At 43.1% G+C, this 23,887-nt stretch overlaps 1 long non-coding RNA gene across 1 annotated transcript in view, besides 5 other annotated features; it reads right to left on the reverse strand.

Annotated features, from left to right (window-relative positions):
- Positions 1 to 4,721: 4,721 nt before the first annotated feature.
- Positions 4,722 to 23,887, reverse strand: part of LOC105370003 (uncharacterized) — a 389,555-nt gene continuing 370,389 nt past the window's right edge. Inside the window, exon 4 of the long non-coding RNA XR_945389.3 lies at positions 4,722 to 5,098. This is a non-coding gene — a long non-coding RNA (uncharacterized LOC105370003). The remainder of the gene's footprint in view (positions 5,099 to 23,887) is intronic.
- Positions 5,915 to 6,024: an enhancer, noted in NCBI's record as "active region_7082". NCBI's record gives its function as "activates an Ori minimal core promoter by ATAC-STARR-seq in GM12878 lymphoblastoid cells {active_cell/tissue: GM12878}" and the evidence as "EXISTENCE:reporter gene assay evidence [ECO:0000049][PMID:35858748]".
- Positions 6,235 to 6,454: an enhancer, noted in NCBI's record as "active region_7083". NCBI's record gives its function as "activates an Ori minimal core promoter by ATAC-STARR-seq in GM12878 lymphoblastoid cells {active_cell/tissue: GM12878}" and the evidence as "EXISTENCE:reporter gene assay evidence [ECO:0000049][PMID:35858748]".
- Positions 6,473 to 6,973: an enhancer, noted in NCBI's record as "H3K27ac hESC enhancer chr12:115813067-115813567 (GRCh37/hg19 assembly coordinates)". NCBI's record gives its function as "activates a minimal SCP1, AML or CMV promoter by ChIP-STARR-seq in primed H9 embryonic stem cells {active_cell/tissue: H9 hESC(primed)}" and the evidence as "EXISTENCE:reporter gene assay evidence [ECO:0000049][PMID:30033119]".
- Positions 6,525 to 6,614: an enhancer, noted in NCBI's record as "active region_7084". NCBI's record gives its function as "activates an Ori minimal core promoter by ATAC-STARR-seq in GM12878 lymphoblastoid cells {active_cell/tissue: GM12878}" and the evidence as "EXISTENCE:reporter gene assay evidence [ECO:0000049][PMID:35858748]".
- Positions 18,855 to 19,149: a silencer, noted in NCBI's record as "tiled region #1364; HepG2 Repressive non-DNase unmatched - State 5:Enh". NCBI's record gives its function as "represses a minimal TATA promoter and a strong SV40 promoter by Sharpr-MPRA in HepG2 cells {active_cell/tissue: HepG2}" and the evidence as "EXISTENCE:reporter gene assay evidence [ECO:0000049][PMID:27701403]".

Genomic DNA, 23,887 nt, shown 5'->3' on the forward strand with positions numbered 1-23,887 from the left:
AGTGAGGTGAGGAATATCTGAAAACTTAGAGCAAGGGAGTCTCAGAGACTGGGCTTGAACCCGAGACACAAAGATTTGAGCCCCCAGCAAAAGGCAATTTGAATAGCTTCTCGATCTATTATTGTAATTAGACTACGTTAACTTTATTAGCTGTTCCTGATGTCAGCAAAACTGATCCATAAAAAATGTGAAATGTATATTGAAAGCATTCAAATAAGAAAGGAAGAAAAGAAACATAGAGGAAGGAAAAAGAAAGGACACAGGCAGAGGCAGAGAAACTTCAGTATGTAGATAGAGAAGAGAAAGAGAAGGAGAGGAGGGAGAGAGGGAAGAGAAAACTAAGACGCCAGTGATTCAAAGATGGTTACCAACCCTGATGCTGCTGGAATCCTGGAGGTCTTCTGAAGGTCTCCGTAGCTGGGGATTCCAGGAATTGGGACTTCTGCATCAATATCAAGAAAAGATAAAACCCTTTCCGCTTGTGGGTCCTGAATATCATCAATTTACAAGAGAGGGTAGAATATGCTTTTCTGTTGAACACAAGTAGAGGACACTTCAATTTGATATTGAAGAATATTTTAAATACATGGGTATTATTTTCCTCTAAAACGGGGTTCTTAATATTGGATCCATAAATTAAACTTCTAAGTTAAAGGGGTCTTTGAACCCCCCGAAATTATATATAAAACATTGTATGAGTATTCAATTATCTTTCTTTGTATTCTCAAATTCTTCTTCTTCTTTTTTATTTTATTTATTTATTTATTATTTTTGAGAAAGTGTCTCAATCTGTTGCCCGGGCTGGTGTGCAGTAGTATGATCTCGGTTCACTGCAACCTCTGCCCCGCCAGGCTCAAGTGATCCTCCCACCTCAGCCTTCCAAGTGGCTGAGACTACAGGCATGTGCCATCACACCCAGATAATTTTTGTATTTTTTGGTAGAGATGGGTTTTCGCCATGTTGCCCAAGGTGGTGTCAAACTCCTGAGATCGAGTGATCTGCCGAACTTGGCCTCTCAAAGAACTGAGAGGCATGAGCCACTGTGCCCGGCCTCAAATTCTTATTTGTTATATGACTTTGTGACATTTCCATAGTGGAGGCATAACTGATAAAATAGAGCAACCCAGAGTTTGGAAGAATAAGTCCTGGATCTCAGACTTCAGTGAGCCACTCACTAGTTTCAGCTTGCAAATTGAGACTTTCGCAGGCCATTTCTTCTCTGTAGGAGCTGGGCGTGAACTAGGACCACTTAAAATGTATTAGATGTTGTTTGGGGTGATGCTGGGAGCTGCCACCAGTCCCCTACTTTCTCCTCCCCGCTTCCAGCAAGGGTACTTTGTTGTATAACAGTTGTGTATGTATATGTGACCCTATGGCAACGTCATAACGGATTGAAGTAGGGCACATTGGATCCTCTCTCGTTGGGATTTGGAATGGAATTCAAAGATAATAGTCAGTCTCTGCTGGTTGGTGAAACTAAGCAGATGGAGAGGTGAGAGCTATGGATTGGCCATGCTTAGTCTACATGGAGAGCACAGGCGCTGATCTTAGGAGTGGAAGAGAAGAATACAGATGTCACAAGAGGATCAGAGAGAGTGTGTGGGTGTGAGGGTGTGTGTGGGAGAGAGAGAGGGAGGGAGGATATGTATCGTACATGTATGTGTGCATATGCACAGAGGAAAGCTCTGAAAAGATAACACATCAGACTAACAATAGTTGCTCTGGCTGGTGAGATTGAGTGCTTTTTATTCTCTTCCTCCTATTTCTCTGTATTGACTGTATTTTTTTTTTTTTGCAGCAGTCACACATTAATTTTATAATCAGCAAAAATGATGAATCTATTTCCATTTGGGGAAAATTTTCTTTAGAAGGAATGCATCTGGGGACACTAGAATTTTCCCCATGCAAAGCCCAAGGGAGAGAGGGAGCCAGGGCTTAGGCCTTTGTAGTAAATATCTCCAGACCACACTAAATCCAATCTTCTCATTTGGGGTTATTTGCTTTCCGGACGGCAAGGCTGTGATGGATCCCAGATTCAGCACTCGTGGCATCTCAATCAGCTGTGTTTAGATGCTGCTGTGACACAAGATTATGACGTTTTGATGGGATTAGGAGATAACTTTGCTTTAATCTATAAAGCCCTGTATGCTTTGGGATCTGATTACCCCGGCAATTCCCTTCCTCGGCCCTAGCAATTAAGATTAGCCAGAATGCTCCTGTTAATGATCCCCATATTGAAAACTCAGGAAATCAGAAATGGGTGGTTTTGTTTTGAGTTGTTTTTTCTGGTTTTGTTCTCCCTTTTCCTTTTCTGTGGAAGGCTCTGGGCTCTCTCTAAGGCTCTTGTCTTCACATCCTAGTGGGTTGTCTGTTTTATTTCCTTCTCTGTTTTCTAAAGAAGCCATCTTTGGGAGGCCTCCTTTGTGTTCTTATTTCATTAGGAAAAGTTTGCTTCTGTTTTATTCAATCAGTGGTCCTTGTGCTTGGTACAATTTGTCTCAGCAGTGATGAGTGAATTTTTAAATCCATCCAAGAAATGATAGAGCATAAACTTGCAAAGACTATTTAACAAAACTCCTGTGGCTAAGGAAGTTTCATGGGTCCACCCTGACCACATTGGCCCCAGTTCGTATTTTCCAGAGAGATCTGCTCCCAGAATCTTTAAACTGCAGGAATTTATGGTCTGTGGTCAAACTATTGTTAAGTTTGCCCACTCTCTTATTTCTACTGAAATACAGTTGCATAAATACAGTACAAAAAACAACCATTGGAAGGTGCAGGTTTAATCTGTTATCATTTAAACTAGGTGTATATGAGAGGCAATTAGGTCACTGTGCTGCATATTCTAGCTGACCACTCCAGCTCAAGCCTAAACCTCAACTTCCACCCCGGAAGGCTGTCCTACAAGGTCAACAGGAACAGGATACCTTGTCTTCAGAATTCCAGTTGTGTTTGACCAATGGAAGCCATTCACAGGGAATAGGAAGGAGGAAGAAGGGAGATATCAGAGTGTTTATTCCCTCGGTTGTCTCTCTGCTGGGTCTGGGACGGGCAATGACTAAGACAACGTATCTTGTCTAGAAGCCCTTTCCTGTGGCTACTGCTCTGGTTCTGGTAATGTCTGCCTCCCTATACTAATCTCTTCTGGCCTAGAGTAGGTAACACTTCAGACTATCGCCAATCCCAGGTTGTTTCACTAGGCATATGGACTTCCTTTCACCCTGCCCACATTTTTGCAAGTGTTCCCTTAATTAAATTTTCTTCCATTTCTCTTGTGGAGTGAGCCTCCTCTCTCCTACCAGAACCCTGACCAATAGCAGCATTGTGGTTGGCAGCTTGGTTTCAGGAAAACTTTAAACCTAGGGGCTCCATCCCTTCCTTGATACAAGAACTTGGCAAGTGATGTCACATTGCTGAACCTCAGTTACCTCTTCTATAAAATATGCACAAAAATAATACTAAGTTTACAGGATTGTTGTGCTGTTTAAGTGAAATAAAAGGCAGTAGTGTATGGCACACAGTAGTCATTCAATAAATGTCAGATTCCCTCTACAGCTTTCCATACCCAACACCCCTTTCTCATTAGGCCTGTTGCCCATTCATTTAAGTCTTCCCTTCTCTGAACAAGTTTTTTCTCTAGTAACTGATATGATGATGACAAGCTGGAACCATTGAGTAGCATATGGTGAAAAATGAGGCAAAAAAGAGAGACAGTGCATCATGGGTCATCCAGAGGGCCGTTGATTGCCCACTGACTTTTGCTAACAGACTAAATATGAGACCTGGCAAAATAACAATAGTGATTATTTATTGAATATAGCTCTTCCCAAACTGAGCCTATCATTCCTTCTCAATGTAACCACAGCACCCTGTGCATTGCCAAACTTAGCACATATTACAGTGGATTGTGATGTCTATTTTTTGTTTCATCTACTGTCTTCACTAAACTTTCAGATAGTGTGGCCTGGGATTTGTCTTCTTCTAAATATTCAGTGCTTAGCATAGAGCAGTGGACATTCATGAAGGTGCTCATAAACCCTGTTAAGAGAATGAATGAATGAATAAACAGATGATAGACAGAGATACTGCAGTTGACTTGAAAGATAGGTGGTATGGGAAGGCTTCACCAAAGAGATGTAGGCCAGACACAGTGGCCTACACCTGTAATCCCAGCACTTTGGGAGGTCAAGGCAGGGGGATCACTTAAACTCAGTAGTTTGAGACCAGCCTGGGCAACATAGCAAGACATCAGCTCTACATAAAAGAAAAAAAAAATCCCCTATCTCAGCATCCCAAGTAGCTGGGAGCACAGGCATGGTGGGATCGCTTGGGCCCAGGAGGTCAAGGCTGCAGTGAGTTGTGATTGTGCCACTGCACTCCAGCCTGGACAACAGAACAAGACTCAAAAATTAAAAATAGGCTGGGCGCGGTGGCTCAGGCCTGTAATCTCAGCACTTTGGGAGGCCAAGGTGGGCAGATCACGAGGTCAGGAGATCAAGGCCTTCCTGGCTAACATGGTGAAACCCCATTTCTACTAAAAGTACAACAAATTAGCCAGGTGTGATGGCACGTGCCTGTAGTCCCAGCTACTCGGGAGGCTGAGGCAGGAGAACCACTTGAACCCGGGAGGCAGAAGTTGCAGTGAGCTGAGATTCATCACTGCACCCCAGCCTGGGCAACAGAGCGAGACTCTTGTCTCCAAAAAATAATAATAATAATAATAAAACAAATATACAAACAAAGAGATGGCACTTAGCTTGGGCCTTAAAGATGAATAGTTTAAAATAGGAAGAAAGCAATTGAAGATATTCTAGGCAGAAGACATATAAGCAGTAGTGGGGGAGATGGAAACTCTTCTGAGCAGCATAGAGATTTTTGTGTATTAGAGTGGAAAGAAATGTGACTGGATATATATTAGTTAGGGCAATGCTAGTTTCTGTAATAAACAAATCCTCAAATCTCATTGGGTCACACCCATAAAGTATATTTTGAGCTTACATAAAATCCAAAACAACAAGTATTATTAATCAGCAGGCAGCTCACTTCCAAGAGGGGATTCCAGAACCAGGTTTCTTCTGTCCTGTGGATTTCGCATTGCCTAAAGTCACACAGAAGAAGAAAAAAAAAGCATGAAAGCATGGTGGACTCCATATGGACAATGTTTATGCGTGAACCATATGGTAAATGCCACTTCCACCTATATTCATTCTAGGGTCAGAACTCAGGCGCATGACCACACCTCCCTGCAGGGGGACTGGGAAGTGCAGTCTAGGTGGGTGGCCAGGAGGAAGAGAATATGGCTTTGGAGACACGCTGGTCAGACTCTCCCACAGATTGGTAAGGTTGGAAGAGATCCCAAAGAGCCTTGAGTACCAGGCTTGGTTCTACATATTGTGTGACTGGATCCCATCAACTAAGCCCACAGCTCCCACTGCCAAGTGGTGTTTCAGAAAACAGAAGCTGACCCAGGAAAACATGACCACAAGTAGAAAGGATGTCAGGGAAGGGCTGAGGAACATCCTGGGAAGATCCTAAGCCCGCAGAGGAGCAACACTTCTTTTGTGCATAACCTTGGCACCAGAAAGGGGCTTTCTCCAAACCCAGGCATTGTCAATTTTAAGTAGTTCTTGATTCTCACACAAAAGTCACTGCTGGCCCAATCTCTTCTCTGGCAGTAGAGCACATGGGGAAGGAAGGAAGGAGGGAGGGAGGGAAGGAAGGAAGGAAGGAAGGAAGGAAGGAAGGAAGGGAGGGAGGGAGGAAGAATAGAAGGAAAGAAGGGAGGGAGGAAGGGAGAAGTGAGAGGGAAGAAGGAAGGAAGAGAGGGAGGAAGGGAGGGAGGAAGGAAGGAGGGAGAGGAATGGAGGGAATATTATTATTTAAAAATGCTTGGAATTTGTAGTACCAGGGTTGGTCTCATTGCATTCTCTCCTTCTGATTATAGGACAACCTGGTTTTTAGGAGCCTAAGGGGTTTCCCAAGACCTGAGACTTTTAGTGGTAAACCTGGGAAAGTCCCAGGCAAACTTGGACAAGTTAGTCAACTTAGCTCTGACATCCGAGGAACATGGGTCCAAATTCTAGCTCTCCGCTTGGTAAATGTGTGCCTTTGGGCAAGTGACTACGTCTCTATGAGCTTCAGTTTCATCCTCTTTAACATATGGATGACAAAATGACCACCCCCCTGGGTTGGTGTGAGGATTGAATGAGATAATGCATGTAAAACACTTAGCAATGTGTCTGGCATATTGAATACACTTCATCGGTGTTGAATGGGGCTCTCTTCTTACTTTAAGTGGATCTTGGTTAAGCAGAGCCCCTGAGAGGTGAGGTTCTTCCTGGGAAGAAGAAGAGGCAGGGGTGTAGCCAAGGACAGAGGCCTTCCTCTCTGTTTGGGTCCTGGGGGGTTTCCGGGCAGGTGGTGCTCAGATGTACAGGGAATCCCAGCTGCACGTGGATGTCAGCTCTTGTCAGCAGGGAGATCAGGGCGAATGGGGCTCAGATGAGGAGAGAGGAAGGCAGCCTGCCCAAGAGTTTCTGATCCCAACTCTCACCACCAAGGGAGGAAAGCCGGGGCTGTGGGTGACATGATAAGAAGGCCCTGAGGAACGTTCAAAGTTCGCCCCTTCCTCCTACAGGAACCAAACTTTAACAGCCAGAGCCAGGGAGTGAAAGAGAAACCAGACAAGTGAGTCATTCGCCTTTAAACAGGCCACATTGTCTTCAGAAGCAGGCTTTGAAATTGTGCATGTGTAACCACAGTAGAGAGGGTTTGGGCCCCCTCTGTTCCTGCCTGAGGGTAAGCCAGAAAAAAGAGAAGAAATGAAAGGGAGGGGGAAAAGAAACTAAAGGAAAAAGATGGGACTAGGAGAAAGTCATGGGAGAGGCAAGAGAGGAAGAACTTTAGGACACAGGAATGAGCCAGCCATGCACTTCGATATTCCAGCAGGTCTCATGCTTCTCAAGGTTGTTGAGGACACTGACGATGCACAATGTTTTCTTGAGCAGTGCTCCGGGCCGTCATTCCTGTGCAGGATCATATTTCATCTTCATAGTCGACTTCCAACATTAGAGGTGAGGACACTGGGGCTCAGTGAGCCTAAGTAACTCATCCAAGGATACACAGCCAGTAAGTGGCAAAGCCAGAATTTAGACCCAATCTGTGATGTCTAATAATAATGTTGGAAATGTGACAACTATTAATAACTTCATCATCCAGGATGATATAAAGCCAAAAGGGAAGGATGAAACAATATGGGAATACCAAAGACAGAAAATACCGAATGTCCGGCCTAAAGCAGGATTTCTCAATATCTGCACTATTGACATTTTAGCTGGGCAGTTTTTGGCCGTGGGGGCCTGTCCTGCATGTGGTAGGACATTTGGCAGCATCCCTGCTCTCCCCGCACTAGATGCCGGTAGCAGACCCTCCCCCAAATGTGGCATGACAAACAGAAATGTCTCCAGACATTTTCAAGAATCTCCTGGGGACAAAGTCAACCCCTGTTAAGAACCATGGGCATACAGGAAGGTATAAAGAATAGTCATTAATATGCACAGGTGCAATGGCTTACCCCTGTAATCCCAGCACTTTGGGAGGCTGAGGTGGGCAGATTGCTTGAGCCCAGGAGTTTGAGACCAGCCTGGGCAACACAGCGAAACCCTGTCTCTACAAAAATATTTTTTATAAAATTTGCCAGGCATGGTGGCACATGCCTGTAGTCCCAGCTACTCCAGAGGCTGAGGTGGGAGGATCACTGGAGCCCAGGAGTTCAAAGCTGCTGTGAGCCATGATGGCACCACTGCACTCCAGCCTGTGCAACAGAGTAAGACCCCATTTGAGAAAAATAATAATAATTAATTAAAAATAAAATAAAAGTAGTAATGACTATGAATTGAGAGTCAACTAAGTGTCCTGTAAAAAGCACTTAATTTCATTTAACACCTCATTGAATCCCCTACAAGAACCCTATGAGGTCGGCTTAGTACTTCCATTTTCTAGATCCGGGACCTTACATAACACGCCCAAGTTCACACAGCTGGTAAGAGACAGAGCTGGGATTTAAACCCAGGTCTATACACGCCTTTCCCCTATACAGATCAGAGAGGGAAACTAAAGATGGGAAGGGAGTGAGCCCAGGAAAGAGACAAAGCATCCCAATGCCAGGTAGTCAGAAAAGACTCCGAAAATGCAGGGAGAGATCCACCATGTGGCCTGGTGATGTTACGCCATTGCCGGGACGAAGCCTTAATCTTTAAGCTGCCATATCACAGGCAGCCCCAGTTCTCCCCTCTGCCCCCTAACCCACCGCTTCCTGTGCAGTGTCCTGCACGTGAGTCCACCCTCTCTCTTCCCTCTCTCATATCTCATAAGAAGAGACAGTGTATTCTAAATGCTGTGATTTATGGGGAACAGCCACTTCCCGTGACCATCCATCTCTCTTCACAGGGACACATATGTTGGGGAGCATCTATCCCCATCATTTTCTGCCAGGAACCAATGGGCCGGGGAATTCAAGAAATGCCCCTAAATTACAAACGAGTGTGGGGGGACCTTCCTCTAGAAACCTTTTCCCCAAGCCTGAGCCTTGCTATAAATCACCCTGTAAGCATCACACACCGCCATAAACCGCAGATGTGTGGGGAATGGCAAGGTGAACATCCGCTAGCAAGAAAGCAAGCAAGGTTGACCAAGACCTTGGAGGGGGCGGCTGTTGGAGGAACTCACCCTGACCTTCCCCACTTCCAACATCCTTTCGCTGGATACTGTGTGGCTGTTACCTTTAGTGCGAGAAATAAATTTAACTCAAGATTCTTTTTTTTGGTGGGGGGGTAATCACCCACCCCACCTTTCCAACCTCTGCAAAACAGCATGAGCATTTGTTCTTAATCTTTCAGGGGGTGAAGGTTCCCTTTGAAAATCTGATGAAAGCTATGGACTCCTCCCTTCATTAAATAAATGATTGTTTACTTGTGTTAAAGGCTTCGAAAATGGTTAAGACTGGTTTATGGTGGTATTTCTAGGAAGATAAAGGGCTTTTATCCCCCGTCATATAAAAAAAAGCATGTTTTAATGTATTGACTTTTGGGGAAACGTTTACTGATGTATAACATGCATACAGAAAAGTGCACAAATCATAAATGTTCGGCGTAATGAATTTTCACAAACTGAACAAACTGGTGTAACCTGTGCCCAGATCTTGAAAGAGCATTCCTGTGCATCTGGATGCTTCCTTACAGCCCCTTCCAGTTTTGCCTGGTTTTCTTCTTTCTATAAATGGAATTATATAGCACGGTTCTTTGTGTGTAACTCTTTTAACTCACTGTTACATTGGCGAGAATTATCTGTGTCGTGGTGTCTAATTGTGTTTCATTTATTCTTATTAGCATATAGTTTTCTATTGTGAGACTATGTCACAACTTATCTTCACTCTAGTGTTGCAAGTCATTGGGGATGTGTTCATTTGTACGGAATTGTGTTGAGCTTATGTTCTTTAGAGTTGTAATTTTAACCTTTCCTATGTGTGAGTGTGTTTCATTTTCCCATTTATGTTAGGAATACATAGTAAATTCTTATTGCAAAAAAAAAAAAAAAATCTAGCATTCAGGGAAAAAAACAGGCAGTGAATTTCTCTCTGATTTCTTTTCGTCTCCCTCCCAACCCAATTAATTCAGTTTCACTGTTACTAGTTTTCTGGGCATCCTTCCAGACATTTCTCTGTGCATCTGTGCACTGATACATACAACATTCAATGTGATGCTTAATTTTGTTTTTACATAAATGCAATTGTTCTGCAATTTTTTTCACTTATCAATATGTCCTGTAGACCCTTCTGTAGATCATCCTCATTGCTTAAGACTGCTGAGCCTGCTTCCATTGCATGGGCGTGCCATGATTTATTTAACCAGTCTCCTACTGGTGGGTATTCAGGCTGTCTCCAGTTTTCTGCTGCTGCAAGCAGGGTGGCAGTGAACATCCTTTTATGTGCTTCTTTATGAGCATTGCAACTATTTCTCTTGGGGAGAAATGGAAAGGTGGAATTGCTGGGTGTACACATTTGCCTTTAAGTGGCTCTTATGAGGTCAAATAGATTGCCCGTACCACTGTGAATTCTGGGTACAGCCTGAAATTTAAGTGAAGGCATTTGGCATAAAGATCGAAATTCACTTGGGTTTTCAAAGATTCGACGGTTGCCTAGAATTGGGCAGAACAGAAGAGGAAGCTGTCTTAGCTTTCACTTAGTACAGTTTGCCAGCACCTCGACCCCACGGGATGCTGATGCTACACAGAGATTCCATAAGGGAAGAAAGTACTACCAGCAGATGGTAAGGAGAGTTGGAACTGGGACGTCTGAGACACAAGGGACGGCTCTTTGAGGACAACTAGAATAATCATGATAGTAACACAGCTAACATGCATTGAGTACTCACTATGTGTCAAGCACTGCTCAGGGATTGTCTAATTCAATTCCTACCATACTCCTATGGGAAAGTACTACACTGAGTCCCATTTTCCAGCTGGAAAAACTGAGGCTCCAATAAAGTCACCTGCTCAAAGTCACACTTATTCACTATGTGAATTAATTGCTTGGAGATTACACTATTGAGCAAGCTCAACATGGCTTTTTCCCCCAGGAAGCTCACTGTCTCCTGGTGGAAACAGACAAGCCACCAGGTGATTACAATGGAGCTCTGCTTGGAGCTGTGTTCAGCCAGAGCGGTGTGCCCTGCGGACTGCTTAGAAACATGACTGGAGACACAGGGAACCTAAAACCACTCCTATGAGGAAGATAAAACCTCTCTGGCTCTCTTGTCCTTCCATGTGTATCACACCTCAACACCCTGGCCAGGAAGGCAAACCTTAAAGCTAATTAATATTAACATCACGCAGCAGGCGCCAAGTGCATGCTAACTGCTTCACCCCATCAATTCTCACAGCAGGTTTTTTAGGAAACTGAGGCTCAGAGAGGAGAGGTGACTTGTCCAAGGGCCACAGTGAATAGGGAGAAGAGCCGGGATTTGAGTCTGGGTCTGTGTAATAATTCTGGAGCCTGGAACCTCTGAGCATGCAGACCCCACCTTCCTGCCCTTTAGACAGTCCCAGTCCAACATTCCTCAATCAAAAATATTCGAGGGCCAAATCCATCCGTGTGTGCTTTGGCAGTGGAGTACACTGAGAGCAGACGTCTGTCCTTTGGTTCCAACCCCAGTTTACAATCACCTCACTTAACAATTAAATATATAAAGTCACAGCCCATTGTCCTCATGTCAGATTAATGCATTACATCTTTCTCCTTTCGGATTGATGCCTCCAGACTTTCCGATGTGGAAACGACTGATTATTACAGTTTTTAGGCTTTTTTTTTTCTTTTAATTTTCAAGTCAGTGAACCAGGCAATCACCGACACTGCCCGTGCATTATGGGCCTAATTCTGCAGAGGTCTGACAAACCTGCCCAGAGACAGAAGATTAAGCTATTCCAAATTACCCAGACGGAGGCAAGCCCAGATTGGGCTCTCTGGGACAGAGGTGGGGGTGGGGGGACCTTTCATTTCTGCTCTTTGGAGACCTCCAAGACTAAACAGTTTAGGCCACATCTTGAAGAAAATTGCTTTATCCTTTCACCTTTAAGTGGATTCCGGTGCAATCAGTTGATTTGGGAGCACGTGGAGGTCAGCACACACACGCCAGGATGGGGGTGGGGGATTGTGGGCAGAGTCTCGGAAAGACAGGTGGCAAGTAAAATAAGGGAGGATGTAAAAGCTAGGGCGGCCGGTTTGTAACCTCTAACATCTGGTGCCAAATAGGAGGGTACTCGGGAAAGTATTCGAACCAGGGATGGGGGAGTGAAGTGGAGAAGGAGATCGGGCGGGGAAGACTTTCAAAGGTTGCAACTGTGACAAACCAGGATGCTAGCCCCTCTCAGATGTCGCAGGAGGAAGTGAAAGAGGGAGGGAAGAGGAAGAGAGAGGGAGGAAGAGGTCAGGTCTCCGATCCCCATAACTAGAGGACACTCAAATGCTTGCAGATGGGATGCAAGGAAGGGTAGAGGTGGAGAGTAAATTGCATCTGGCTGCCTGGGAGCACAGCACAGAGGAAACTGGTTTTACTCATGCTGGCAAAGCCCCCTTGCTGAGAGTATCTCCAACTCCAGCCAGCTGGTAGGGAGGAGCCCTAAAATCAGAAAAGCTCCCTCTACCCAGGTTCCTAGTCTTAGCTTCACTGCTCCTGGCTGGGCATGATTTCATGAACCCTCTCCCCTCATTGTGACGGTCCTGGCATCTGAAACTTGCATGCTGAGAAAAGATACCAAGGGAGAGATGCCCATGCTTTCTCAAGGCAGTAGGAAAAGTGTTTTGTCCTGGTCTGGCCTGAGTGAGAACCAGACATTGACTCAGATGGCCAATTTCTACATTGCTATTATTTGGGAGGCTCTAGATTTGGATCGTTCGAAAGCCTTTTATCATTCAGTTCCAGCAACCACATTCAAACCTCCTCACTCTGTTCTCCCAGCACAGTGAACAGTTTGCCTCCACCTTCCCCTTTTGCCACTTCTCTCTTTTTTCTTTTCTTTTCTTTTTTCTTTTAAATCATGATCAGGAAGTTTTCACAGGGACTTCCAATGCTTAAAAGACCAGAGACTAAACTTACATCAGCATCAGTTAGGATGCCTTCAGATACAATTAACAGAAAAGCCAGCTCACCTTGCATTAAACCTTGGAGATGTTTAATTTGGACATCTTCAGACATCTATAGACAGGCGGTTGCTTTCCAGGTTTGGGGCAGCCACTCCACTGGACATCAAGGTAAGCCCTCCCCATTCATCTACTCCCCCAAGCTCAACGCATTCACTTCCCTTCCTGTTCATCAACTCACGCCTTCAAAATGGTAGCCACAGCTCCAAGCATCATGAGCTCAGTCAGAGGTAGAAAGTCTAGGAGAGAGGCGAGGCCTTTTTCTAGGATCACTTTGTCCTTCGATCAATAAAAAAGCAACATTTCTAGAGTCATCATAGCCTCCATCCAAGTCTCATTGATTAGAATTGGGTCACAGGCTCACTTTTAGAGAACAGTCCAAAGCAGGGGCAAAATCTGTTTGTAAGAAATAAAGGGAATGGCTGCTGGGAGGATAATCACAGTATCTCCTCACCAGCTCACCCCCAGGTATTTTCTTTCAGTGTCCTAATCTGGTGAATGGTTCAGCAAGCAGCATCCACATCACCTATTAATCAAGCCATCTCTGGATCCTCCCTGTCCTTCACTCACTCCTTCCCCAAGTCCTGGCCTGTATACCCCTCTTTGACCCTCGAAAATCTCTCCTATGATACTGGACACACAGCAGGTACTCAATAAATGGCAATATTCATTTTGCTGCCCCTATAATCCTGCAGCTCTAGAACCAAATTAGCAAACTAGAAAATTTCCTTTGAGAAACTCAACTTTCTAGGCTCCAGTCATTATTTCAGAACCGACTACTGGTTAAATGAGCAGCTATTGGAATCATAAAACCTGGATTCAAATCTCTGCCCTGCTGTGCCTTAGTTATTATGGCCCTGGGCAGCCTGATAAGACACTCTGAACCCCAGTTTTCTCATCTATAAAAGGGAAATAATTATACTCCATACTTCCTAGGGTAGCTGTGATGGTGAAGTATGATGAGGCATCCAAGTACTTAGCACAGTGTCTGGTACATGGGAAGGGATGAGCAAATGCCTGCTACACTTGCTACCATTTCCCAAATGGTAAAACCCATTGTCAATGAGCTTCATCTTCCACTGCCCCACCAAATCACACTCACCTCAGGAACTTTTCTTCCATCCTGATTTCAATGGATGTTTCCCCCGCCCAACCCCATCCTCAGGACACAGGGCACTCTAGGAAGATTTAGAGAGCCACTGGCTTCCCCTTGCGAAGTGGAGATCATACCCCAGTCCTCACGAGTCCTGGGGCCAGGCTGAAGCCGCAGGAATTGGGTCTGACTTCTAGTGGTTTAGATGGAAATCAGGCAAGAGACTTCTCAGCAGCTTCTTTTATATTTATTTCTGGTCAGATCAAAGGTCCTGTCGGCAATCTGTCTTGACATCTTAATTCCTGTTTTTCTTAACTAATTTTTTTTCCCTGGATGGTGTTCACTCCAAATAAGCTACTGAAAGGCCCTCTGGGGGTAAGAGAGAGAGAGAGAGACTGAGTGGGAGGAATTTAGTTATGTCTTGCTATAAATAAGTGTATAGAATTATACAGATCTTGATGGCCGGAGATCAGTCACTTATTTCCACAGTAGGAAAAAGACAAGCTTGGGGTTATTTCCGGATTCCTAGTGGTGTTCAAACTCACAAGGACACCCAGTAAAGACTGGCTTGATAAAATTCTAACAGGGATCATTTATTGAAAGGGCGTATTAACTGTAATTAAGGACATGAAATTTGGAGTCTGCCATCCTGTAAATACCAGGTTGACCACTTACTAACTGTGTAACCTTGGAAAAGTGACCACACTGCTCTGCCTCAGTTTCCACATCTGTAAAATGGGGACAATAATAACCTCATGGACTTGTTAGGAAGATTAAATGAGTTGATAAATGTGAAGTGCTTAGAGCAGTGCCTGGCACACAGTCAGCAAATATGAGTTTATTAATATCTATTTAACAGGTATTGGGCATAGATTATTGTGTGTTCGATCCATACAACAGTCTTTCATGACAATGTTGCCATCTATAGACCTAATCCACTCATAAATCATTTTGCAAGAGAGGAACTAGAGAAGCAGAGAGACTTGAGTAATTTGGCTACAGGTACTAAGTAGCAGAATCGGAGTTCATAACCAGGTCTGCCTGATCGCCAGAAGAAGCTCTTCACACTCTGCCTCACCTGGTTAAGCAGGACCAGCTATGTCAGCAAGATAACCAGCAGGATGCCATCTCTTTACTGAGGGCAGATGGAGCAAGGCTCACCTTGCCTGCTTAACTTTGAAGGGGGTTACCCCAAGCACGCAAATGAGTTGCTTTAAGCAACTCACGGCCAAAGAAATGAATCACTCCTTGCCCGTCATCTCTAGCTCCCCGATGATGTTTGCAGGCAAGCTTCGGGCCTGTGTAAACGTGAAGTAGGTCAGGCCACAAGCCAAGTCTGCAAGTAGCACAAGGAGTGACTGATTGCACAGTCAGTGAAAGTTTTGGACAATTTACCAGTTCAGGAAAACTACACCTACAACAAACTGGTTGCACCACCTTGTTTAGAATGAGCATCCACTGCCTCTACCACTCACGGAAGTGCTGGAGTTGACATCTAGGAAAACATCAAGGCTCCTGGGGACTTAGGGAGAGGGCACGCTGGTATATTTACATGTTCCTTGATAAAAATACAGCCCAAAAGACATGTTTACCACTGAACTTCAAAACCATTCCGAAGATACCAGTCACTCTTCTACTACAGTCAAAGTAGACCTTTGAAGACTTCTCAGAGAATTTAAAATCTTGAAGGGCCTCAGTGTTCTCTCTGGGGATGTCAAAGATATTTGTCAGAACTGGACAGGGCAATGATGAAGCAGCCTGGGATGCCTTCCTATACCCAGCAAAAAAAAAAAAAAAAAAAAAAAAGGCTTTGTTTTTTTTTCTTTCTTTTCTTTCCCTAATTTCTTATATGAGCATATTCCCCGTGATTCATTTTTTCCCTCTTAAGAGGTTTCTTTGGCCACCTGTGTTCCTGTGGAAATAGCAGCAATGCACACTTATTGAGCAAGCCCTATAGCTAAAAAAAAGTGTGAATCCCTTTGTATGATGTGTCATCCCCTTTACATTCACAACATTCCAGGCCAGGTGAGGTGTCTCACACCCGTAATTCCAGCCCTTTGGGAGGCCAAGGTGGGAGGATCACTTGAGGCCAGGAGTTTTGAGGCCACTCTAGGCAACAAATCAAGATGTTATCTCTACAAAAAGTACAAAAATTAGCCAGGCACGGTGTCATGTGTCTGTAGTCCCAGCTACGCAGGAAGATCGCTTGAGTACAGAAAGTCAAGACTGTAGTGAGCTATGATCCCATCACTGCACTCCAGCCTGGGCGACAGAGTCAGATCCTATCTCTTTAAAAAAAGAAAAATGAGCAATATACCTGTGAGTTGGTACTAATAGGTAATTGTGCCCATTTTACAAATCAAAATGCCAAGGCACTTGCCCAGTGTCAACTCACTGCATGAATGGAGGTGCTAGGTTTGGAATCAACATCTATCTCCAAAGCCCATATTCCTACCCTCTGCTATCCTGTCTCCTAACACTTTATTCAGATCTGTTTTTAAAAGTGCCTAACACAATATATATGATAATTTTTCCTGTTATGTGTCTGTTTCATTTGGTAACAGTAAAGTTAATGCTAACCACCATGTATTAAATAAGCACTTACATATATCAGGTACTGTGCAGGTGAATGTATACGCATTTTCTCTGATCCTGCTGACAGTCCTGTGAGTTGGGTGTCAGGTGCTCCATTATACAGATGAGCAAACAAGTTCAGAGAGGTTAAGTGTGTGGCCCCAGGCTAAGGAGCTCGTGAGCGGTAGAGCCAGTTTCATGAATCAGGTTTGATGGGCCCAAAGCCCATGTGCTTTGTCCTGTGCCTTAGCAACTCCCACTGGCTGTCAGCTTATCAAGGGCCGGGCTGGCATTTTATGTTCTTAGTGTCTCTGCAACCCAGCAAAGTGTCTGGCTGTGAACTAGGTGAACTGCAAAAAAAAAAAAAAAAAAAGTAGAATCAAGGGACCAAGTCAGTCATCCCAGTGCTCTGCTAAATATAGAGTTTAAAGTACAAGCTGGTGCAAGAACAAAGGAAAAAAAAGATGTTTATTTTTTAATGGATCAATTAGAGAAAGTTGAAAATAAGGAGTTATGCTCATCTCTTATATGCAAATGACTGAGTCCTGGATATGTATTGGAGCCCAGCAAATACGTGTTGAATGAATACACTCATATAAAGAGATCAACACTCAGATATTTAGTAGGCATCTCAAACTTGCTATTTCCACAACTATACTGATTATCGTCCCTGCATAACCACTCCTTCTGCCATCTACCCCATTTCCATAATTGCAAACTCTATCCTTCTCATCATCCTCAACTCCTCTTTCTCTCATGCCACGTGAATCCAGCAGCAAGTCCTGCCTGCTCTACTTTCAGGGTATCGCCCGAAATCTGACCACGTCTCACCTCTCCCAAGGCTACCTCCCTGGTCCAAGCCACCATCACCTCTCACTCGGGATGTGGCACCAACCTTCTTACTGGTCACTCTGTGGCATCCCGTACTCTCCACTTCACAGCCAGAGGGATCCTGTTACATCCTAAACCAGACCATGTCACTACTCTATTCAAAATGAGCAGCATGCTCCAACCTCATGACATTTGCACTACAGCCCCGTCTGCTTGGAATTCTCTGCTACAGAAATCTGCAAGGCATACTCCCTCATTCCCTTCCTTCAGGCCACCGCTCTGCCATCTGTCACCTCCTCAGTGAGCCTTCTCTGAATACCCTTTATCAAATAGAACCCTCTCCACTACCCCAGCACCCAGCCTTCTCTATTTTCCTTCACCTGCTTTCTTTTTCCCCATAGTCATGTTCCATTTGTATCTATGTAACACCTATGATGTACCAGCACATAAACTTCACAAGGGCAGAAGTATGTCTGTCCCAGCGAAATCCTAGGCACCCAGAACAATTCTGGCAAGGAGTAAATATTTGCTGAATGAATGAATAGTTTCTCTTTGCTCTGGAACATGTAAGGATTAGTCCAGAAGGGTACACTATTACTGAGATCAAAGTTGTTCCATAGAACTTTCCAGAATGATGGAAATGGTCTACATCTGCTTTATTCATCCAATACAATAGCTACCAGTCGCTATGTGGCTAGGAGCACTTGAAATGTATGTAGGACAACTGAGGAATTAAATTTTTTAAAAATTCATAGACCACTTTTTAGAGCAGTTTTAGGTTTACAGAAACACTGAGCAGAAAGTACAGAGAAAAGACAGTATTTTTTATTTTATTTTGTTTTAGTTTATTTAAATAGCCATATGTGGCTAGTGGCTACCATATTGGACAGAAGTGACTTAGACTGAGACTAAGAAGGAAGGCTCCTGCCTCCCTCACCGCTGTGTGTGCATCAGTCCCAGGAGGGAGCCTGTGGAAGGCCTGCCACGTTTTTCCTCCTAAGGACTCACCAGGGCCCCAAAGGCGGAGTCAGCCTTCCAAGCAGAGAAGTTTGCAGATCAACCTCTAGGAAAGAAGAAAGCAGACAGTGCAGCACAGAGAATCTTCATTGAAGATGTGCCAGTTGCTAAGGGAGGCCCCTGGCCAACTCACGTACATGTACGTCTTCTGATGAATGAGCCTTAGTGGGCCCCGTCTAACTCATCTTCTTCGCACATCCTCACCCCCTTCCACTCCTTTATGCTCTTCCTTTCATCTCTCCTCATCATCCCTGGGGCCCAAAATTGTTTCCTGTGCTTTACAGCTGGACTAAGGGACACCTTGGGCCCTTCTGCTCAAATCTGGCTTTTGGTTTCCATAACAACTAGTAAAGCACACAGCACTAAATACAACAAAGATTTCTCTCTCTCTCTCTCTCTCTCTCTATCTATATATAAATATATATATAAATATAGATAAAGAGTGCACACATCTATATATATTCACACACATATATACAGCACACACATGAATGAATGCAGACATACACACACACACACACACACACGTATATTCACTCACATATTTAAGGGTAAAGTGCAAGAAGGGTAGGAGGACTGAAGTCCAAAAAAGAAAGTAAATAAACCTTGACAACAAATAGAGACCATTCTAGGGAAGAGCAAAGGGACATGGAGCTGCCTATAATTAGCAGCCGCCACATCCCAAAACAAAATCAGACGTTCAGGCCTTGCAGCTTTGTTGCCATAGAAATGGGGCCCAAGATCCATCAGGCTGTCTTCCTAAAGCGATTCCGTCCCTGACCATGCCCACATCAAAGGGAGCCTCCCCAAGTTTCTTTGTGTTGTAGATGATACCCAGGACCCTACCATGTCTCCAAAGGGGGCAGGCAAGGAAAAGAAAAGACCTAGTAGAAAAAAATTCAGAAGTGTCTCAATCCAGACATGCTGGCTTCTCATGAGATACAGCAGGAGAAGGATTTAGCCAAGTAGCATCTTGGGGACTTTCTATCCTGTGGATGTGTTTACTGATTATTGGAGGCTGCCACTGGTCACTTTTTTTACATTTGTTTTTATTCTTTTTTCCTACACATTACAAACAAGCTTCCAGTCATATTGTCCTTACAGTTTTACTTCCTGTTTTTACCCATTTAATATTAGAAAGTAAATGTTGCCACATGTTACATATATTTTTGCATAACTGTCTCTATCAGTCAGGGTCCAGGCTACAGACAGATAGCAAACCAGTTATTTTAAGAGAGTGATGTGGTTTGGATTTCTCTTCCCGCCCTAATCTCATGTTGAATTGTAATCTCCAATGGTGGGGGTGGGGCTTCGTGGGAGGCGATTGGATCGTGGGAGTGGATTTCCCCCTTGCTGTTCTCGTGATAGCAAGTGAGTTCTCATGAGATCTGGTTGTTTCCAAGTGTGTAGCACCTCCCTCTTTACTCTCTTTCTCCTACTCCAGCCATGTAAGAGATGCTTGCTTCCACTTCACCTTCTGCTATGACTGTAAGTTTCCTGAGGCCTCCCCAGCCGTGTTACCTGTACATCCTGCAGAACCATGAGCCAATTAAACCTCTTTTCTTTATAAATTACCCAATCTCAGGTAGTTCTTTACAGCAATGCGAGAACAAACTAATACCAAGAGAGAATGTAACATAAGGAATTGTTAAGCAGGTAGTAGAGGAGAATCTTATGTATCATGTCAAAATTAATTTTACTATCTCCTGGAGGTGGCTAGCTCATTGACTGTCACCCCAAACTTTGCTAACTCACCAGTAGCAGGAGAAGGATAAAATTTTCTCTGCAATGTGAATCATCCTGCATGGCTTATTGATCAATCACAGTAAAGCGAAAAGACATATAAGGCATAATGAGCTATCACCAAGATAGCCACTTGAGAAGCAACGTCCACACCTATGACCAGAGAACAAAGGAAAGATGTTGGTACCATTAAACTTGATTTGTAAGGCTAAAGATAGGCACAGCACAGCAGAGACCCAGACTTCTGAAAATAAGGCACTATCTGGATGGTTTACTGAAATCCTTGAGGAAGCCCAGTGAGATTAGTTCTGATAGAGTGGAAAACGGCAAAGTAGATTTGGAAGCTGCTACTGAAATTAATCTTCTGATCAGGAAGAAGCAAGACTCTTCTTTTCCTCCAGGCTTCTCATTGTTTTTCACAGCCACCTACTGGCACACTTTTCACAGAGAAGTGGGTGCACAGTCTTATCCCCAGGATCACAAAGCCAAGCATAGAAGGATGGGATTGAAAACGAGAGGCAATAGCTCATCATTAAGTGGATGTTACACACTTTAACCAGTCCCCCATGTTGAACATTTAGGTTGTCTCTAACTCTTTGGTGTTATAAGTTGGGTTTCAGTAGGGGATCTTCTGCATCAACAAAATATTATTTCCTCGTAACGTATTCCCCAAAGTAGATTTAATTTGCTAAACATTATGGGCATTTTTAAGGTTCTTGATACCTATGACAAAAACGTTTCCCTTAAAACTATCAACTTCAGTTCTATCCATCACTAAGCATTCTGAATCTAAATCCATTATTGTGAAATTACTTTAATTTATTGATGCAATCCTTTCAGGTCCCCAAAACTTAACTGCCTTTCTCTGCTTATCATCAGCTCACAGTAAACATTTCTCATCTCTGAATCTGCATAATATGGTCACTCTTATTCATTTGCCACTCACTTCATTCTCTGTGATTCTGCTTTTCTTATTTCTCTAACTAGTCAGCCAAGCATACTGTTGTTAACAGAGAGGACTCTGAGGCAGACTACCGATTTCCATACTAGATTTCAATGTGTACTGGCTGTGTGACTGCAGGCAAGCAACTGATTCTCTCTAAGCCCCACTTTCTTGTCAGTATAATGAAAAGAAATAGTTCTATGTACTTCAGAGGATTATGAGGCTCAAATATGATAATGCAAGGAATCTGAGATATAGCATGATTTCAGTACATGATACCTATTGCTGTTGTAATTTTTGATATTATTCTTATTAGACAGTAAACTCATTGAGGGCAAGAATTATGTCTTAGAATTCTTTTCTATCTGTTTTCTTAACTTAGCAACCTTTAATTAGATTTTAAGAAACTGACACTCAGACTAAGTTAGCTTAAGCTTCCTTAAGCAATGAGGTTTTACCATAAAATTGAGGAATCGCAACAAATAAGAGGCAGCATGCAATTCTATGGGACCGTCAGTCCTTCTCTTATGGGTCATGTGTTTGCTCATCTCTGCTATATCACACTTTGATTTCTCTTCCCTTGACCACCAGGTTACTTTACACACTTGCTCCTTTTTCTGCATGCTATCAGCCATCAGGAGACATTGGGTCCAACCATGCCTGACCTTACAGACTCTTTGTCCTTAGTCCCATGTCTCTTAATTTAATTCCTGAAAAGAAAAAAAAAAAGATTGACTTGAGTTGTACCTATAAACTATCACTGGCCCAATCAGATAAGGCCAGGGATCACAGATCACCTGGCACAATTATGACTGCCTCAGTTCACTGCTTCAGGAGAGGTGGGAAAATGCTCTTCAGGAGTGCTAATTGACATGCCTACTTCCGTTATGCCTCATCCAGAACACCGAGGGAGCCAACACAGTTAGATTGCTTGGGAGTAGCTAAAAACAAAAAGAAGCAGGGCCTCTCAACAATCAGCACACAGATCTCAACAGCTGGCTTGGAGTCCCAGTGGAAGACCTGTCCTTGGCCACTGGCAGCAGGACCACCTGTCCCTACCCACCAGGGAGAGGACCACCTGCAGATGCCAGCAATAAGCCCACCAACCTGCAGACCCCGGCACCAAGCCCTCCCACCTGTGGGTCCAAGTACCAGGCACACTTTCCTGCCTGTGGCCCTCAGCAGACTTGTTCACCCAAAAACCCTGTTGGCGGCAAGTTTACCTGCAGAGGCCAGCAGCAGACCCACACATAGACCCAAGCACCAAGTCCATCTGCCCACCCACCTGTGGATCCTGGAAGTGGGCCCCTCTGTGGTCTCCACCAAATAGCTCACTCAGAATCTTTGGCCAGGCTGACTAATAAAGGGCCTTCCATGCCAGACTGTAAAGACTGAAAGAGGTGACTACTTCTTCAAATGCACAATAACAAACGCAAGGCTACAAGGATTACAAAGAATTAGGGAACTACAACACTACCATGGAAATAAAATAAGTCTCTAGTAACAAATGCTAAAGAAATGAATATCTAAAGAAATGAGAATGTCAGGTGCCTGATGAAAAATTCCAAATTGTTGTCCTAAATGAGCTTAGTGAACTGCAAGAGAACACAGATAGACAACTAAATAAAATCAGAAAAGCAATACATAAGCAAAATGAGAAGTTCAAAAAAGATAAAGAAATAATTAAAAGGAACCAAACAGAAATTCTGGAGCTAAATAATACACTGACTGAACTGAAAAAAATAAATACAGAACTTCAACTGTAAATGCAATCAAGTATTTGAGTTTAATCAGTGAACTCTAAGAGAAGTCATTTGAAATTATCCAAAGGAACAAAAAGCAAAAGAGTGAAAAGAGTGAAGAATAGCTATGGGACTTTGGGGACACTATCAAACCAAAAAAGAATATGGATTATTAGAGTCCCAAAAGAAGAAGAGAAAGAGAAGGAAAGTTTATTTAACTAGATTACGATAAAAAACTTCCTACATCTGGTGAGAGAAATAGGCATCCAGATTCATGAAGCCTAAAGAATTCCATATAGGCTAATCCTAAAGAGATCTACACAAGACACATTAAAATTAAATTATAAAAAATCAAAGACAGAGAGAGTTTTGAAAACAGCAAGAGGCTCATCATGTACAAGGAAATCTGCATGAGACTATCAGTGGATCCCTTAGCAGAAACCTTGCAGACCAAGAGACAGTGGAATGATATATTCAAAGTATTTTTTAAAAAACTGCAAAAAAGAATGCCATACCAAGATAAACTGTTGTTTAAAAGAGAAGGATTGATAAAGACTTTACCTGACAAACAAAAACTGAGGTTTATCGCTTCTAGACCTGCCATAAAAAAGTACTAAAAGAAGTTTCTTTAGTTGAAACAAAGGGAAGATTAACAGTAAGATAAAAGCATATGAAAGTATAAATTTCACTGGTAAAGGCAAACCTATAGAAAATGTAGGATAATATAATACTGTAATGATGGTGCCCAAATCAGTTTTTAAATTTTATATCCTCATATAAAATTTAAAGGACAAAATATTAAGAGTAACTATAGCTACCAAAAATTGTTAATGGATACACAATAGAAAAATAAGTAAATTATGACACCAATTATACAAAGTTGTAGCAGGGGGACAAAGTGTAGAGTTTTTATATGCAATTAAGGTTAAGTAGTTATCAGCTTAAAATAGACTGTTACAATTATAAGATGTTTTTTGCAAGCCTCATAGCAACCAAAATGAAAAAAAAAACTATTATAGATACAAAAAAGATAAAGAGAAAAGAATCAAAATATGTAGCTACAAAAACAAAATCATGAAAGAATATAGCAAGAGAGGAAGGGAGGAGCAAAAGACCCACAAAACAAACAGAAAACAACAAATTTGGTAAAGTTCCAGGATACAAAATCAATGTAAAAAACCAATAGTGCTTCCATACACTAACAATAAACTATTCAAAAAGAAATTAAGAAAACAATTCCATTTACAATA

The sequence above is a fragment of the Homo sapiens genome, chromosome 12 (assembly GCF_000001405.40).
Source record: "Homo sapiens chromosome 12, GRCh38.p14 Primary Assembly".
Taxonomy (NCBI): Eukaryota; Metazoa; Chordata; class Mammalia; order Primates; family Hominidae; genus Homo; species Homo sapiens.